The sequence below is a fragment of the Homo sapiens genome, chromosome 15, assembly GCF_000001405.40.
Source record: "Homo sapiens chromosome 15, GRCh38.p14 Primary Assembly".
Classification (NCBI taxonomy): domain Eukaryota; kingdom Metazoa; phylum Chordata; class Mammalia; order Primates; family Hominidae; genus Homo; species Homo sapiens.
In genome coordinates, this window is record NC_000015.10 from 91957121 (window position 1) to 91976219 (window position 19099).

At 46.0% G+C, this 19099-nt stretch overlaps 1 protein-coding gene and 1 long non-coding RNA gene across 4 annotated transcripts in view, besides 2 other annotated features; both read left to right on the top strand.

Annotated features, from left to right (window-relative positions):
• SLCO3A1 (solute carrier organic anion transporter family member 3A1) overlaps nucleotides 1-19099 on the top strand; it is a 318728-nt gene that overhangs the window by 103413 nt on the left and 196216 nt on the right. The window lies entirely within an intron of this gene.
• LOC124903557 (uncharacterized) lies at nucleotides 6808-10524 on the top strand. The gene is made up of 2 exons (XR_007064764.1): nucleotides 6808-9694; nucleotides 10377-10524. It is a non-coding gene; the product is annotated as an uncharacterized LOC124903557 (long non-coding RNA).
• Nucleotides 16968-17468: an enhancer, noted in NCBI's record as "H3K4me1 hESC enhancer chr15:92517318-92517818 (GRCh37/hg19 assembly coordinates)". NCBI's record gives its function as "activates a minimal SCP1, AML or CMV promoter by ChIP-STARR-seq in primed H9 embryonic stem cells {active_cell/tissue: H9 hESC(primed)}" and the evidence as "EXISTENCE:reporter gene assay evidence [ECO:0000049][PMID:30033119]".
• Nucleotides 17469-17969: an enhancer, noted in NCBI's record as "H3K4me1 hESC enhancer chr15:92517819-92518319 (GRCh37/hg19 assembly coordinates)". NCBI's record gives its function as "activates a minimal SCP1, AML or CMV promoter by ChIP-STARR-seq in primed H9 embryonic stem cells {active_cell/tissue: H9 hESC(primed)}" and the evidence as "EXISTENCE:reporter gene assay evidence [ECO:0000049][PMID:30033119]".

Below are 19099 nucleotides of genomic sequence, written 5' to 3' on the forward strand. Positions count from 1 at the left end.
ATATAATATATATACTATATATTATAATATATATATATATTTTTTTTTTTAGTAGAGACGGGGTTTTACTGTGTTTGCCAGGCTGGTCTCAAACCCCTGACTTCATATGATCCGCTGGCTAGGATGACAGGCATGAACCACCGGACCTGGCTGCCTCCTTGACTTCTAACTGAAAACCCTTCTGTCTCTTCTGTAGATTTCAGCCGCCAATGTGGTCTCAAAAGTACAGGGCAAATCCATTCCCATCACACCTGCAATCAAAGCCTCCGGTGCTTCACTCAGAGTGAAAGCTCATCTTCCTGTGGCCCATGAGGCCCTCTGTGATGGGGTCAGTCTGCCTTCCCCACCTTCTTTCCTGGTGGCATCTTCTTGCTTTCTCAGCTGCAGCCACACTGGCTCTGTTGTTCCTCACATGGATCAAGCTCAGTTCCCACCTCAGGGCCTTTACATTTTGCTGTTCCCTCTACCTGGTTCACTTTCCCCAGATATCCTCCTGGCTCTCCTTCATTTGGTTCAGGGCTTTGCTCAGATACTACCTTATCAGAAAGGCCCTTCCTATTGGCCTTATGTAAAGTTGTATCCCTGTTGTCATGCCTGTACTCTGTCCCCCATACTCAGCTTTATTTTTCTCCATAGAACTTAGCCCCACCAGATGTAGTATTAATACATGCTTCATTAATTAGATATATAGTTTCTGTCCCACTACACCAAAATGTAAGCATCATAAAGACGAGGACTTCATTCAGTTCAGTGCTATATTCCCAGTGCATAAAGCATGGCCTGGCACATAACAGGTACTCACCAGGTCTTTGTCATATAAATGAAAGGGAACGACTGAGTCTCCATATACATTTGATCCATGAACAACATGGGTTTGAACTGCATGGACCCGCCTCTATGCAGATTTTTTTCAATAAATATATTGGAAAAATTGTTTGGAGATTTGCAACAATTTGAGAAAACTTGCAGATGAATTATGTAGCCTAGGAATATTGAAAAAATTAAGAAATTTAGGTATGTCATGAATGCATAGAATATATGTTGATACTAGTCTATGTATTAATTGACTGTTTATGTTATTGGTGAGGCTTCCAATTATCACTATTAGTAGTTAAGTTTTTGGGGAGTCAAAATTTATAGTCAGTGTTTTACTGTGTGTGTTGGGGTGGAGGGTGACCCTGTCGCCTGTGTTATTCCAGGATCAACCGTACTTCATTTTGTATTCATCTACCATGTGTCTGGATCCCACACTCACTCAGCATTTCTGCATTTGATGTCATGGAGCAAAGATGGGCACTGGATTTGGGCAGCCCCGCGTTTGAATGCCGCCTCTCCCATTTCCCAGTCGGGTAATGCTGGGCAAGTTAACTTCCTGTCTGATCCTTCATTTCTTCACTTGCAGAATGGAGAGCATATGCCTCACCTTGAGGGCTGTTGGAGGAATGGAGGTTTGGGTGCTCAGTATTTATTAGCCCTTATACTACATTAATTTGGTGTTAGGCAAACAGAGGAAAGCCTTCTTAAAAAACAGCTTTACCAAGATAAAATTCATATACTATAAAATTTGCCCCAGTGAAATTAAAACCACAATGATATAGATACCACCTTACTTCTGCAAGAATGGCCATAATTAAAAAGTCAAAAAACAATAAATGTTGGCTTGGATGTGGTGAAAAGGGGACACTTTCCCACTGCTAGCGGGAATGTAAGTTAGTACAGCCACTATGGAAAACAGTATTGAGATTCCTTAAAGAACTAAAAGGAGAACTACCATTCCATCCAGCAATCCCACTGCTTGGTATCTACCCAAAGGAAAAGAAGTCATTATATGAAAAAGACACATGCACACACATGTTTATAGCAGCACAGCTTACAACTGCAAGGATATGGAACCAACCTAACTGCCCCTCAACCAAGGAGTGGATAAAGAAAATGTGGCATATATACACCACGGAATACTACTCAACCATAAAAAGGAACGAAATAATGTATTTTGCAGCAACTTGGATGGAGCTGGAGGCTGTTATTCTAAGGGAAGTAGCTCAGGAGTGGAAAACCAAATACCATACGTTCTCACTTATGAGTGGGAGGGAGCTAAGCTATGAGGACACAAAGGCATATAGAGAGATATAATGGACTCTGGGGACTTGGGGGTTGGGGAGGTTGGAAGGCGGGTGAGGGATAAAAGACAACATATTGGTACAGTGAACACTGCTCGGGTGATGGGTGCACCAAAATCTCAGAACTGACCACTAAAGAACTCGTTCATGTAATGAAAAACCACTGGTACTCCAAAAACGATTGAAATTTTAAAAAAGAAAATTATAGGCTGGGCACGGTGGCTCACACCTGTAATCCCAGCACTTTGGGAAGCTGAGGCGGGCAGATCGCCTGAGGTCGGGAATTTGAGACAAGCCTGGCCAGCATGGTGAAACCCCATCTCTCCTAAAAATACAAAAAAATTCGCTGGGTGTGGTGGTGGGCACCTGTAATCCCAGGAAGCTGAGGCAGGAGAATCGCTTGAACCTGGGAGGAGGAGGTTGCAGTGAGCTGAGATCACGCCACTGCACTCCAGCCTGGGCAACAGAGTGAGACTCCATCTCAAAAAAAAAAAAAAAAAAAAGAAAAGTATAAAAAATATACACAGTTCAGTTGTTTAGTGTATTCATAGAGTTGTGCAACCATTAGCACAATTCAATTTTAAAACATTTTCATCACCCCTAAAATGGAACCTCTTACTCACTAGCAATCACTTTCATTATGCCCTCCCTAGCAGGTGCTGCCAAACACTAATTTACTTTCTGTGTCTATTTGATTTGCCCATTCTTAACATTTCACGTAAACAGAATCATACAATATGTGGCCTTTTTTTGTTTGTTTTGAGATGGAGTCTCACTCTGTCATCCAGGCTGGAATGCAGTGGCACAATCTCGGCTCACTGCAACCTCCGCCTCCTGGGTTCAAAAGATTCTCCTGCCTTAGCCTCCCGAGTAGCTGGGACTATAGGCGCGTGCCACCATGCTCGGCTAACTTTTTGTATTGTTAGTAGAGACGGAGTTTCACGATGTTAGCCAGGATGCTCTCGATCTCCTGACCTCGTGATCTGCCCACCTCGGCCTCCCAGAGTGCTGAGATTACAGGCGTGAGCCACCACGCCCGGCCTTATGTGGCCTTTTATGACTGCCTTCTTTCACCACCATGATGTTTGTAAGGTCCATCCATGTTGTAATGGGTATGGAGACACCACATTTTGTTCATTCAACCATTGATGGACATTTGGGTTGTTACCACTTTTTCACTGTGAAGAATAATTCTGCTCTGAAGGTTTGTATACACATTTGGTGTGGACGAGGCAACCTCTTATTGGATACATCCAAGCCAGTTCCGGGATGCCTTCTCTCTGTGGTGTCCCAGATCGTCCTGTAGCTCCTAAACTCGTTCCTTTCAAATTAAGAACATATTTTGAGAGAGCTATTTTACTTATCTCAGCAGACATTCTTTTGATACAGGAGTAATTTATTCTTTTCTCACTATTTCATATGACTAGCTGGTTATTCACTTGATTTTGCCACCTGCAGTACCCCTTCTTTGCTCATCCTACAGGTTGTCTCTTATCCAAAATGCTTGGGATGAGAAGTGTTTCAGATTTTGGATTTTTTCAGAATTTTGAATATTTGCATTATATATAGTCACTTACAAGTTGAGCACCCCAAATCCAAAAATCCAAAATCTGAAATGTTCCAATGAGCATTTCCTTTGAGTGTCATGTCAGCACTCAAAAGGATTTGTATTTTGGAGCATTTTGGATATCAGATTTTTGGATTAGAAATGCTCCACCTGTAGCCTGATGTTCCGGATGCCTCTGTCAGACCATAGTCTGCTCAACCATGAGGCTTTATTTTACTCCGCTCTCAGGACGTTACTCTCTCCCTTGAGTGGCCCTTTTCTGAATGAAATTTGCCATTCTGCTCCGAGAGGACCCTTGACTTTAAGCATACTTGTCTGAAACGTGATTTTTGAATACTTAGTTTATCTCATTCTAGTCAATTTATCTCCTAATTGCATTATCTATTATCCCAGTAGAATTATGAAGCATTTGTAGAAGATTCATTAATTTTTGGCTGCCTGCTGGCAAGGATTTGATAACAAAGGCATAGTCAGGACTGCCTTGGCAAGTACTTGTGTTTGAACTTTTGAGGCTTTCTCTTCCCATTTTCCCAAAGGAAGGCTTGATTTTCCTGATTTTGCCTGAAGGGCATAGGCAATAGTGGCGTGTTGTCTTGAAGGAGAGGGAAGAATGGTGGGGCAGAAGAACAGCTCTCTGGTTCTACTCTGAGGAAAGGAAAACAGGGCATATGTCAGGCAATGAGGTTGATTAAAAACATCTCAGTCCAAGGTGTGTGGGATTCCAGAGATGAGTCATATCTCACACTCATAGGCACTTTTCAGTGTATTTTCCCCTACAGTGTATTGCAAATCCTACCTCAGGGCCTTTGCACTTGCTCTCTGGCTTCATTCAGGCCCCTGCTTGTGGGTCTTCCCATCAGAGAGGCCTTCCCTGAATACCCTTCCCCTACTCATCTGCCACCTTTACTCTTAGTCGCCTTACTTGGCTTTGTTTTTCTTCACATATTGCCATCTAGCATAAAATACATTTATTTACTTATTGTCATTCCTCACCAGAATGCCAGCTCTATGAGAGCGACCCATTCACTGTTACATGTTTAAAGCTTGAGATGGTTCTCAGAACATGGAAGGGACCCAGCACATGTGTACTGAATGAATGAATGCATTTGATTTTATGAAAACCCTGGGACAGAGGTATTATAATTCCCATCATGTGGGAGGAAACCTGGACTCAGAAGACTGGGGAGAATTATTCAAGGTCACAAAGTAGTCGCTGCTGAGTCAGAAGTTGAGCTCAGCTCTTCTGGTCCTGATGCAGCCATCTCAGGCTCGCAGGGCCCAAGAACAAACTCTGGCGGTCATACAGACAGGCTCAGAAGATGCCGCAGACTGCAGCGGGAGGTAGCATATGAGGCAGTGACTAGAGTGGACATTTTAAGAATTACAGAGCGGCCGTGCACAGTGGCTCACACCTGTAATCCCAGCACTTTGGGAGGCCGAGGCAGATGGATCACCTGAGGTCGGGAGTTCGAGACCAACCTGACCAACATGGAGAAACCCTGTCTTTACTAAAAATACAAAATTAGCCAGGCATGGTGGCACATGCCTGTGATCCCAGCTACTCTGGAGGCTGAGGCAGGAAAATCACTTGAACCCAGGAGACAGAGGTTGCGGTGAACTGAGATCGCGCCATTGCACTCCAGCCTGGGCAACAAGAGCGAAACTCCGTCTCAAAAAAAAAAAAAAAAAAAAAAGAGCAAGGATTTCCTGTGGCCTGAGAAAGAAAACAGGAAACAACTGAAAGCTGGCCAAACAGCAATGGGAGAGACTTGGTGCTGAGGAGGGAAGTGGAGCCGGGGAAGGAGGAGAGAATGAGAGGTGGAAATGGCTGTGGAAGGTCCTAAGCCCAACGGAGAGCCCAGCAGTGATGTTTAGGAGCCTCTTGGTGATCTCAGGCTGTCCAGTGCACCCCATCCCCAGCAGCACACCAGATGCTTTGTTCCTGGACCAAACTGAGGGTCCTCGGGCTGCTTACTTTCACAACCCAATAACGAGATGCAGATGAGCTGGGAAAGGAGAGAGTTTATTTCTGGAGCCGGGTACAGGGAGAAGGCCTGGAAAACATCGCCAGACCAACTCAAAATTACAAAGTTTTCCAGAGCTTATATACTTTCTAAGCTGTATGTCTGTGTGTAAGTGTGCATTCATCTGAAGACATAAGTGATTAACTTCTTCCAATCTGTAACTAAGATCTGATTCCTGAAGACCTTCCTCTGGAGCCTCAGTAAATTTACTTAATCTAAATGGGTCCGGGTGCTGGGGGTGATTACCCTTGTCTCCTGCTAAATCATGGAGGTTTGGGGAGTTCCTTCAGACCCCCAATACACCTGTTTAATCCTAAATAGGTCCTGTTAAGAATTCCTTTGTTATCTTGTCGTGCTTCGAGGCCCGGGAAAGTCCTAGGCAAGATGCTTGGTGGGCTTTTGTTGCATTCCAGCCTTTGTATATGGGCACTGGCTCTTTCAGCTTTCAGCTTTTAATATTTAACTTCACCAGTCAGTCAGTGCTGAGACAGTTATTATGGAGGCTACCCTGTTCAGCTGTTAGGGAGACCAGGCCTGCCACAGTTTCTCTCTCGTGAGGGTTTAACTCGGGGAGGGTGGGGGGGGGGGGCGGCAGCAGCCTGGGGCTGATTAACTCCTGAATGTTGTGCTAATGAGAAAGTGGTGTGGGTAGTGAGAACCAATGCCCCAAATAACATTTCATCTGATTGGATCACACCGTGGGATTTTATTGCAGTAGATATTAATTGTATTCTGTCCAGAACTGGTTCCTTCTGGTGGGTTCTTGGTTTTGCTGACTTCAAGAATGAAGCCGTGGACCTTCGCGGTGAGTGTTACAGTTCTTAAAGATGATGCGTCTGGAGTTGTTCCTTCCGAGGTTCAGATGTGTCAGGAGTTTCTTCCTTTTGGTGGGTTCGTGGTCTCGCTGACTTCAGGAGTCATGCCACAGACCTTCGCAGTGAGTATTACAGATCATAAAGGTAGTGCAGAACCAGACTGAGCAGCAGCAAGATTTATTGTGAAGAGCGAAAGAACAAAGCTTCCACGGCGTGGAAGGGGACCCAAGCAGGTTGCCGCTGCTATTTCGGGTGGCCAGCTTTTATTCCCTTATTTGGCCCCGCCCACATCCTGCTGATTGGTCCATTTTACAGAGTGCTGATTGGTCCATTTTACAAAGTGCTGATTGGTGTGTTCACCATCTTTTAACTAGACCCAGAGCACTGATTGGTGCATTTACAGTCCTTTAGCTAGACACAAAAGTTCTCCAAGTCCCCACCTGACCCAGAAGCTCAGCTGGCTTCACCTCTCAGTATGGGTGGGGAACCTACTTGTTTTCAGTTTATGAAAGTAGGTTTTCAGGAAAAGCAAACCTGTGGTAGAAACTTGTTGGAAATGTAATGGAACCTGGAATGTTCCATTAATCACAAGACTTCTGTGTGATTGCTCAGAGCTCTAAAAGTAGATACAACGGCCTTGTCATCTGTAATTTTTTTTTGTTTTTGGTCATTTTTAGGTGAAATATTTGATAGTGCTTTATACTTTCTACCCTTTTTAGGGCATGGTAAATGTATTTGTTCGACTGACAGCTACTGCAAGAAGCAAACCCTCACATGCATCATTGCTTTTTTTTTTTATGCTCAGGTGACTCCAGAACAGGTTTTACTAATATGTGGGCAGCTCTGTGTAGTAGCTCTTGCCATGTTAGTGTTGCTATATTTAGTTCCTCCTATTCAAGGTTGCTATGCTTGTCGGCATCAAGCAGGAGGAGAAAAGACCCTGGTGGAAGGGGCATGGGAAGTCTTGTGGACCAGGCCGGAAGTGGCACCTCATTGGCCACAGCTCCGTCCCATCTCTGGTAGAGAAAGAGAGTTGAGCAGTGTGTTGGGAAGAAGCAGAAGCAAGCTGGGTACTAACATCCTTTAAAATTAGATAGTTTTTTTTTTTTTAATGTACTTCGAGTATGTTCTAGAAAGCTATTTCCTTGGATACCTCCCTTTTGCGATGAAGAAGTGGCAGCTCACAGAATTGAGTGACTTGCTCAGGGTCACAGAGCGTCAGGTGACAGTGTGTGGTCTGGAATCCAGGCCTTATCCATTACCTTGTCCCGTACTTTGTCTTTCCACGAGTTTTTGAGTGTGGCCAGCAGTCCTACCTCTAGACTTTTCTGCGTGTGCCATGCCAGCTTTTGGGAGGATTACAGTCATCACCACCATCTGAAGAGGTACTGGGGACCTCAGCTCCCCCATGACAGCAAACATACCCAGGGAGAGGGGGCTGTGGGGATACTCAGTGGATGATTAGGGTTTTTAGAATCTGTTGGGAAGGGGAAGAGGTATACATTAAAATTGAGTGCCCTAGAGAACAGGAGAATTGGAGAGAAGACACATGATTAAAGAGAAACGCATATGCAGACCCCTCTCCCACCACCAGCATCCCAGTGCTTGGGAAACCCAAAGCCAAGCCCTGGCTCCTCAGGGATCCCCAAAGGAAACATTTATCCCCCTGGATGTTTGGATGTCCCGTAATGATTTAGAGGCCTGAGATCCTGCTCAAATCCCTGGATTCTATGTGGTATTGAAGAAGGACTTTTAAAACTAGACCTGACAGGTCCAAATAAATATCCTCCATTGTGAGGAACAATCTCATTTGGGCCTCTGAGGCTCTCTAAAAATATCCTTCATTGACTGTTCACTTTAGAATCCAGGATTGAGACTCCCACCCCACCCCCTAACTTCCCTTCCCTTTTGTTTTTCTATGTTGCCTGCTCATCCTTCCTCCTCTCACCAGCCTGGCCTTGCCTAGGGAGTGGGAGTTGGCAGGGCTTGCCTACCAGGAGGGTTTTGTTGAGAGGCACCAAGTCCAAAGGAATCTTTTGTCTACAGGTGCACTTGAATTGTGGGCAGCCAGCAGGGTGTGTGTGTGTGTGTGTGTGTGTGTGTGTGTGGAGGGAAATTCGTAGGAGTGAGTGTGGGTGTGCACACCTGCTCTAAATTGCTTCTACTGCCAGAATGTACTCCTGGAGGGATCAGGAAGGAGTAAGCCCTTAGTCGATTGAGCCAGTCCAGCCCTGAGGACATTGATTCCAGCTCCTTGCTTTCATTGAAGGGAGGAGAGAAACTCAAATAGGAGCCCTCAAGGAGATTGTGTGAAGCTTTCTGAATTCGGTGTCATTTTCATGCAATTTTGTTAAGAACTGGTGTATTTCATCCCCTCCTGGTTCATTCCGTGAGTCATCCAGAAGGCATCAGAGCCTCGTCATTTTGGCAGCCGCAGGGCATTTGTGCCCAGCGAATTATGGGCAGCTCTGATCTGAAGTAACAAGGTTGAGTCGAGATAGGTTGAGAAATGACCCAGACAGAAACAGGGGCCTCGGCTGGCAGCCCCAGCCACACCATAACTGCACCCGTAGCTCAGATGAGGTCAGGACATTTTTGCTTTGTGACAGATTTGGGACGCAGAGAAAAGAGTTCAGGCTTTGTACTGACCGAGGCCAGCACTGACACCAGTGCAGACAAAGAGGTTTGTAGCCAGGGGAGTGGAGGGACGGACAGCTCAGATTTTAGCTGACGATGATTCTCATGGCCTGTGTACAAGTTCCCACTAATGTATCATCAGTACCAGCATCTCTGAGGAAGATGTTTTTCCCACTGTGCACAATGCAACATCACTGTCCCCAGGGTACATGGGACAGAAAAATCCCTGTTAGAACTGGGCACAAAACTGCGCTTCTGAACATTTCAGGATATGATCCTTTCAGGATACTGTGTCTAGCACCCAAATTTTGAGGACTCAAGTTTTCATTAAAGCAACAGGCAGTGATGATGATGTGCTTTCCAAATGCAAATTGTAGGAACATTTAATTAAATGGGACCCTTAGGAGCAGTAACCATTCTCAGATCCCAGTTAACCTGGTGTATTAGAATGTCTCAGCAGTGGAAGGAATTCATGCCTGGGCTTTGGTGATGCTTCTCAAACAGAGCATCTGGCACTGTTCGTGGAAAAAGGTGATTTCAACTTGAAGCAGAAAGATAAGGTGGCGCTTTGTAGAATGTAAAAAAGTCTAACCCTAGCTTCTGCAGAGAGCTGGGCTGCTGCACCAATTATGTTGTGTGGCATTTTACTTCCAAAGGGCAGCTTTGGTCATGGAGGAGAAGACAAAAGCGTGGTGCAGTTTTTTGGGGATTTTTTTTTTTGACAGCAAGAGAGATGAGATACAATTTGTATTTTTGAACTCTGCTTTCAGATAACTTTATAAAGGGCTTTAAAACTGTCTTTGTAAATGATCCAGAAGAGTTAGGCTCTAAAGAAGTTTTGAAATACCTCATTCTATTTGTGCTGCTTTTTATCCTTTCTAAAAAAACAAAAAGATTATTAGATGGTAGGAAACTATGTCTAAATAAACCCAGTGAGTTGTTACATTTTTATTCATTTAAAATATTAAAATGACAATAAGAGAGGTTTTTAGTTATCAGAGCATGTTGCAGAGGTATAAGAGGAAGCAGAGAGTACTGTTTTCTAGATTAACTGCTCTACACAGAAATGAACAGCAGTATAGATTAACCCATAAGAGTCCAAATAACTCCCCCTGCTTGAAGCTTTATATGGTGATCTGTGGTAGAATGTCCCTCCTCTGGTTATGCTTTTCTTTGGCTAATAGTATCATTTGTCTCCCCACCTCTCCTGTAGGACTGAGGTGCCGTTGTGGGGACATAACGCAGAAGCGTTGCCACAGGATAAAGACAGCACTCGACATATAATAAAAATCAATATGGATAAGACACCTATTACACAGATAATCCCATATGAAATAAATTAAACCCGTTTTACAGATGGATTAATTGTTTTGTCCTTGTTCTGTTGACTTCCAGACCTTGTTATCTCTCCTGTTTTCCTGGATCATATTGTCTCTCAAATATCAATAGCACAGTTTTTGGCTGTGTTGTTTTCAAACAGCCTACTTTTGGGGAACCACGAGGACGTAGTGGCAGGACTAAAGGTCAAGGTCACTTCAGTGTTCTCCCAAATCCCGCTGGCATAGGCTCTTTCCTTGTCTGCTTTGTCTGCAGGATTCAGCACCAAGAGCTCTCAAGAGCAAATCCACAGGCAGCTAAATCAAGAAGGTGGCTCTCTTCCCTCCTCTTTGCTCCCCTCTTCCTGCAGAGATGCAAGATGGCTTTGAAATGTCCCTATCTTCCTTCCCTTCTGATTGCCTTACTTGTTCAGATGCTTCCATCCTGAACATTTTCTAGAGTCCCCTGCCTAGTCGCCCTGGAAAGTACCCAGGGAAGCCACTTACGGCCTATCCATCAAAGCACAGTGCGTGTCTCCTTTCTCAGACAGAGGACGTAATCATCCATGCCCACAGAGGAGAGCGTGTGCCCTGAGTTTCAGTGCCGGATCAGAGACTGGAAAAGTCTGTATGCCCCCTCCCTACCTTACAGTCTTTTACTTCTCCACCTGGGGAAAACAGCAGATGGAGGAGAGGAAAGAGAAGTTTAGCTGGCATCATTAAAATGACTTTCTAGTCTCCTGCGAGCTTTCTCTCAAGTAGATTCTGCTGAGTTCTGCTTGGACTGGTAAGCACAGAGAGTGAGTCATAGAGTGGCCCTCTAGAATCCTCCAGCCTGTGCTTATTATGCAGCATGGAGGTGTCCTGGCTAGAACAGGGCCTCTAATTTATCATGTCTTCTCACTAGGTGAGGTGAATAGGGCTCCACAAACCACCGTGGGGACCAGTGGCATCAAATTCTGGTGCTAACAAAGGAAGTTCCATCACAGACAAGGAGTGAGAAGAAGCCAGGGTAGAAACAAGCGACCCCTGCTTCCATGTGAAGCTTCATTCCCCAACCCATTCTTCAGACAGAGAAAGGGTGCACACGCAGACCCGCAAGCACAGCCTTCGCACGTGTGCTCACACAGCCGCAGTATTTACGGCACTCACGACGTGTCCAGCTTCTTTGTGCGCTCACAGCAGGCACTGCACTGTCCGTGGTTACCCTTAGGGTGGCGCTGTTTATTGGCGCCTTTTTGCTTGGCACATTCTGGTTCCTCTGCATGGAGTCTCCTTTCTCTTTCCCCTACCCAGGGGATCTGGCAAACTCGTGTTGCTCCATGTAGAGTCAGCTCAGAGGTCCCTTCCTCTCAGAAGCCATCTCTGCCTCCACCTACCTCCAACACAAGAGTTTGCTAACAGGTCCACACTGTGTTTAGCACTGTCACCTTGCATCATTTTTTGGTGTGATTGTATCTGTTGCACATACACCTGTGTCCCCGCTACACACTTTGAGAGGTAAAGCTCATCTTTTCGTTGTATACAGCACATGTACAGAAATATGTGCCTGGCACATAAAGGCAATTAGTAGATATTTGTCGAATGAATGAGTGAATAAATCATTTTTTGGGGTAGAAGTGGTGTAGAATATCTGACTACTACATGTGGATACTAAGAACTAATTGTTGTTGTGGAGTAAAATTTCTTGTGTTTGTCTGTATATATATAATTTTTTTTTTTTTGAGATGAATTCTCACTCTGTTGCCCAGGCTGGATTGCAGTGGCACAATCTTGGCTCACTGCAACCTCCACCTCCTAGGTTCAAGTGATTCTCCTGCCTCAGTCTCCCAAATAGCTTGGGTTACAGGTACGTGCCACCATGCCTGGCTAATTTTTGTATTTTTAGTAAAGTAGGGGGTTTCTCCATGTTGGCCAGGCTGGTCTCAAACTCCTCACCTCAGGTGGTCCACCCACCTTGGCCTCCCAAAGTGCTGGGATTACAGACATGAGCCACAGTGCCTGGCCTCTTGTTACAATTATTGTTGTCTTTCTATCAAAAACATTACCAAAATCTCCTTTTACTTCATAACACTCATAAGACTCCATCTATAGAATTCCTTTTCTGGTAGAAGTGCTCCCTTGTTGGGCCTGGCATCTTATGGGCTCACCCTTATATTCTCCCAAGAGAAGTCCCCATTTTTCAGTGGAAGAGATCTAGCTATGTCTATGGTTTCCTGGTGGCGGGGGCTGGTCCACAGACCTAGAATGAGTTGCTGGGGAATTGGGTAGGGTGAGCCCTTTGCATTGCTGGGTAGAAGAAAATTTGACCTGGGCGCAGTCATCAGTTTGGACTCTAACTTCCTAGCTAGTTCTGTGTGTGTCAAAATCCTCCAGCATAACATTTGCCATGATGAGCAAGGAAGTGTAGTGTTTTTTCCCCTCAGCGAAATGTTAAAAGGCAAAAAGGCTATTTCTGCTCACCCAGAAAAACATTTTGGCTCTAGCAGAAAACAAAACAAAAAAAACTTACAGCCTTAAAACTAAAAAGAGGCATTGAAATACAGTACCTTCTCCCCACGCTGTTCAAAACACTTCGTGAGCAAGCACATGTAGCACATGTAGGAGAGAGGCCGAGTATGTTCTGAACTAATATTTTAGTGTATTATTTAAAATCTGGCCAGAGCACAGCATATTTGCATGCCTGTCTTTGGGCTCTGTTTCTAAAACAAGGAGAGTGGTGATGAAATCCGCAGCTGGTGTGCTGGCCCCAAGCCTGGGCAGTTTGGGCTCCATCACACCCTGGAGCAGCCAGCAAAGTTGCTGGAGCCGCTGATGGGAGGTGCCTTTGGGGTGGGCAGAGTTGTGGAGTCCTCTCCTTTCTCTGTAGTCAACACACGAGAGTCAACATGGAACTTGAGGTCTGTGAGCGTTTGCTGAGCCTGTGACCAGGAGGTGCTCCTGGAGAATGAAAGCGGGTAGGTAGGAGACAAGTGGTATCCAGCTCCCAGGGACTCACAAGGAGCCCTAATGAAACAACATGGTTCTTTCTTAAGTGGACCCATTTCTCCCATTACTCCTTCAAACCTCTGGGTTTCCCCTGACCAAAAAACAGGCATCCAGGGTGTATCCTGCCACTGTGCAGTGCCCTGCTTTGGTTAGACAGTGCCCATGTGAACATGAAGTTTTCCTTCTGACAGGCGGCAGTCTTCTCAGGCTAGAAGAGTAGACAGAGCTTCCACCTGTGTACAAGGGGCGTCTGCCGTCCTCATGCTACTAATGCCCAACCAGATGAAGGGTGTGTGTGTTTGTGTGTGTGTGTGTGCATGTGTGCAAATCCTTAAATAGGTATAGGCATATGTAGTCAGTCTTCATTATTTGTGGTTTCTGTATTTGGGAATTTGCCTATTTGCTAAAATGTATTTGTAGCCCCCAAATCAATACTCACGGCACCTTTGAAGACATGTGCAGGGTGGGGAAACATTTGAGTTGCCTGAAGTGCCTGTTCCCAGCTGAGGTCAAACAAGGTGACCTTGGCCGGGCGCGGTGGCTCACACCTGTAATCTTAGCACTTCGGGAGGCCGAGGCGGGCGGATCATGGGATCAGGAGATCGAAACCATCCTGGCTAACACAGTGAAACTCCATCTCTACTAAAAATACAAAAAATTAGCCGAGCATGGTGGCAGGTGCCTGTAGTCCCAGCTACTCGGGAGGCTGAGGCAGGACAATGGGGTGAACCCGGGAGGCGGAGCTTGCAGTGAGCCGAGGTCGTGCCACTGCACTCCAGCCTGGGTGACAGAGCGAGACTCCATCTCAAAAAAAAAAAAAAAAGCAACCTCTTCCTTCTTGTTTCAGCTCTCATGCTGTAAACAAGTATCCTTTTTGTTGTCTATTTGATGTCATATTCTTCCATGTTTTTGTGCTTTTGTTGATGATTTTACTGTTTGAAAAGGCCCCAAGCACAGTGCTGAAGAGCTGTCTAGTGTTCCTAAGCACAGGACACCTGTGATTTGCCTTACAGAGAAAATATGTGTGTTAAAGAAGCTTCATGCAGGCATGAGTTACAGCATTGTTTGCCATGAGCTCCATGTTAATGAATCAAAGATATACATTAAATAAGGTTTGTTTAAACAGAAACACACTTAACACAAGGTTATGTGGTGATGAGTTGATGAAAATGTTGTGAACAGAGGCTCGCAGGAACCTAACCCTGTATTTCCCCTAGCAGCAGTGGCTCCGTATTCAGCAGTGGCTCCGTATTCAACAGTTCAGTGTTTGTGGAGACTTTCTAGAACATAACTGCAGTTTGAGTATCCCTGATCAGAAATGCTTGGGACCAGAAGTGTTTTGGATCTTGGATTTTTTTTTATGAGTTTGGAATATTTGCATTATATTCCTTACCAATGAGCATTTCCTTTGAGCGTCATGTTGGCGCTCAAAAAACTAAGGATTTTGGAGCATTTCAGATTTTGGATTTTTGGATGAGGGATGCTCAACCTATATCTTGGATAATGAGAATTGACTATATAAAGGGGTGAGGGAGAGGGTTTTATGTAGAGCTCTATACCTATGATACCATATTGGAAAACGTCTACCATATTTGAAGTCGTATGGAGAAGTCTCCATTAAGAGATTATACCTTCAGACAGGTGGCTGCGCTGGGTTGGGAGGTGGATATGGGAGATGAGGGTGCTGACATGAACCAAGGTGGTATGGTCTGAATGTTTGTGTGAATCCTAACCCAAGGTGGGTTAGATTTCAACAGAACTCGAATAGGTCATGATGGAGGAGCCCCCATGATGGGGTTAGTACCCTTATAAAAGAGGCCCCAGAGAGGTGCCTCGCCCTCTCCATGACGTGAGGGTACACCTAGGACATGCCATCTGTGAACCAGAAAGTGGCCTTCCAACAGACACCAAATCTTCTGGTGGCGCCTTCTTTTGGACTTCTAGACTCCAGAACTGTGAGAAGTAAATTTCTGTTGTTTATAAGCCACCCAGGCTGTTGTATTGTTACAGGACCTCAAACAGACTGAGGCTCAAGGCACCAGGGAAACGTGCTGACCGATCGATCTTCAGTACGGTGGATTTATTAGAAAGGGTGCTGCAGTGATGAGCCCTTGTCCTCCAGGTCAGGACAGAGGCCCAGGGAATGCCCTTGCGTGGCCTCTGGTGTGGTTCCTGGTGCTGCCTCGGTCCTCCAGGTTTGACTGTGGATGAACTGCCCCTCTGTCCACACATACATAGAAAAGGACAGTGGGGCCGGGCATGGTGGCTCATGCCTGTAATCCCAGCACTTTGGGAGGCCGAGGCAGGCGGATCACCTGAGGTCAGGGGTTCGAGACCATCCTGGCCAATATAGTGAAGCCCCGTCTCTACTAAATATACAAAAATCAGCTAAGCATGGTGGCATGCACTTGTAGTCCCAGCTACTAGGGAGGCAGGAGAATCGCTTGAACCCGGGAGGCAGAGGTTGCAGTGAGCCGAGATCACGCCATTGCACTCCAGTCTGGCAACAGAGCAAGACTCCGTCTCAAAAAGAAAAGAAAAGGGCAACGGGCAGTGCCCTGGGGCAGGGGAACTGAGGCAAAAGGGTGGGGATTGCAACCCCTCTGCTCTCTCATTTCCCAGAGAAGAAGTGGTCTTGGATATCCAAGGAACGAATGAATTCTCAGGTGCCTGCTCCTCCCAGGCACTTCACACTGGATGTCTTTGAACTTGACGGCAGCCCTCTGAGATACCATTATCTCCATTCTGCTGATGAAGAGCAGGCACAGCGAGGTTACCTGCATTGTCAGAGGACACACAGCTAGTAAGGGGTGGAATTTAAATTCAAACCTGTGACAAGTCAAGATACAATTATCTTTAGTTGGTGGCTGACTGGAAAAACAGATGCAACAGCAGGAAGAAGGGGGGCTGAAGCTGGTGTATTGTCTGAGTGTCTAAAATCATGGTGCGTTTGAAGGGAATGAAGTTGAGTGAGCGATTGCAGGATTCGAGGGCGAGTTAGGGCAGAGCTTCTCAACCTGGGTGCTTTTGCACCTCATGACGTTTGGCAGTGTCTGGATTCATTTTTGGTTGCTGTCATAACAGGGTTGGAACACAGGGGAAGTGCTACTGGCATCTAGTGGGGAGAGGCTGCGGATGCTGTCAAGCCTCCATCGGTGCACAGGACCGGCATCCACAACAAAGAATTATCCAACCCCAAATGTCAATAATGCCAAGCCTGAGAATACCTGATTAAGGGGAAAGCAGGCTCTCGAAGTGGTTTGAGTTGGGAGCATGTTATGGGCTGAAAAGTTACAAACTATATCCAGAAACTTCTATAAAGGTATTTCCTTCTGATGTGCCATCATTCCTGGCTCAAAATTCACTTTTCTTTCTACATTTTCTATATTCAGTAAGATATGACCTGTCTGTGAGCCAGGCCTATTGGTACCTGTTCTGTGGTGAGCAGGCACCAGTAGGTGACAAGGCAGGCAAGAGAGAGTGTCCCTGGACCTAAGAAACCAGGCTGTGGACCCAAAGCCATCTGGAAAAGACTCACGGGATGTGGGACATCACTCAAGGCTCAAGGTCAGCCTGGGGTCCAACAGTAAGGATAAGAACCAGGACAGCAGGTTCCAGAAAGCCAGGTCCCTTCATAGGAGGTCAGCCTGACCTAAACGGACACCATTTTCATTATTGTTATTATTATTATTATTATTATTATTATTATTATTTCTCTAAGCCTTCTTAGCATTTGCAGTGTATCCTGGGGGAACTTGCAGTTTTCAGAGACAGACTCATGAATAAAAATGAGTTGTGTAAATTCCTGTATTGAGAGTATTTGCCAAGTGCTGCAGGGCTCCAGAGGAGGCAACGGGCACCTTGGCCTGGAGAAACAGAGGAGGGTGAAGGTTTCTGGGTGAGTCACTGCTGGAAACTAGAAGGTGAAGGGAGAGTCCAGGCAGAGGGAAGAGCGTGGTGGGAGGTAAAAGGTGCCAGCGGGCAGAGCCAGGCAGGGTAGGCGTGTGCTGTGGGCAGGGCAGGGAGGCGGGAGGTGGGGTGAGGGGAAGACCACAGGGAACTCCCCAGGGAGCAGAGAATTGGGTGCCTCCTGCAAGTGTCCACTGTGGCTTCTAGGGAAAATCTCTCCGAAAGAGGAAAGATGTGCTGTGCTGGCAGGAAGGCGGAGACATTCATTTCCAGTCCCTCTGTGATAGGGTAGGGGTGACCCTGTCTTCAAGAGGTGTGATGAAGCCAGTGTCCCCATTTAGCATCAAAATAGACAAGACAGTTCCTTCATTAAGAAAGCAAATCTTGCTGGCACTAGATACCCTTTACAGAGGGCCAGGCTCTGGGAGCCTCCCTGTCTGGGTTCCCATCCCAGCTTCTGGGGTTCCTCTGTGTGCAGTCTGGGGTAGTTAACTTAATTTCTCTGTACTGCAGTTCCTATCTGTAAAATGAGTAGAATAAGTGTTCCTGCATCATAGGTGTTTTATGAGATTAAATGATTTAGTGCAAATAAAGTGCCTGGAATGGTGCCTAGAATATAGTAAATTCTCAGAGTTAACCAGTGTTATTCTCTTTTTACCATTTAGGGAAGGCAGAGGAAAGGGCTTTAAGAGTGTCATGTTCTAGAGCTGAACTTGTGAACTGGTACCTAGGTGTGCTGCAATTGGCTGACAGGTGCGCATTTTAAAAAATTGAATTTGAATCCTTTGCCTGGAGCTGGCATGATCCATGATTCATCATAGTCCATCCTCCACCCCACCCCCTTGTCCCAAGCCTGTCCAGCAACACACATGCAGTGTCCCCTGCAGTTGGCTCCCTAAACATGAGAGCAGAGGACACTGGCGATTGCATTAAGCGGACAGAAGTTACAGGAGGAACCATTGGCAGGATTAGCCACAGACTGAGTCAGCTGTCATGCCACACACTTGGTGAGAGCCCTGCTTATGAAGCAGCTGTGTATTTCAAATGTTGGGTTCAGCCTAGGAGCTTGTTGATGATCACTTTCTGTGGCAGCAGGTTCTAGGGCCAGGGGGGCACCCTGCCAGCTTCTGTCTCCAGCAGACAAGCTGCATCCAGGTACAACCTTCCTCTCAGCCTGTCAGACGTGCGTCTGCACTGCTAGCACAGCCTCCTCCTTCCTACGCCTCCACCTGACCTGTTCCTATAACTATGAGATTGCCCCTTACAGCCACCCAGTGGTGGACGCTCCAAGGCAGGCAAGAGGAGCAGCCTACTTTCCCTAGCACACACCAGCCTGAAGAGCTGTGCTAGTGGTGGAGTGAGGAAAGAACCCTGGCCCCAGAGGTAAAAGACCTCACTGAAGTGTGACCTTGGTCAGATCACTGAGCCCTGCAGTCCTCTTTGTTGTCTATAACCCCTGGGGTACTGTATTGCTTGCAGCACCTCACTTGATTATTGGGTTGTTAGAGAGAGGCAGTGTGTGTAGAGGTGCCTTATTATTATTATTTTTAATGTTAGATACTCTGCAAATGATGGACATTCAAAATAATTAGCAATGCTGCATTATTTCTTGAAGTGTGGCCAACCATCCACAGCCTGGGCTAGAAAGCAGAAATGGGGATGTTGATTGTGATGAGGGTCCCAAACTGTACTGGGGAGAAGATAGATGGAAGCAAAGAAACTC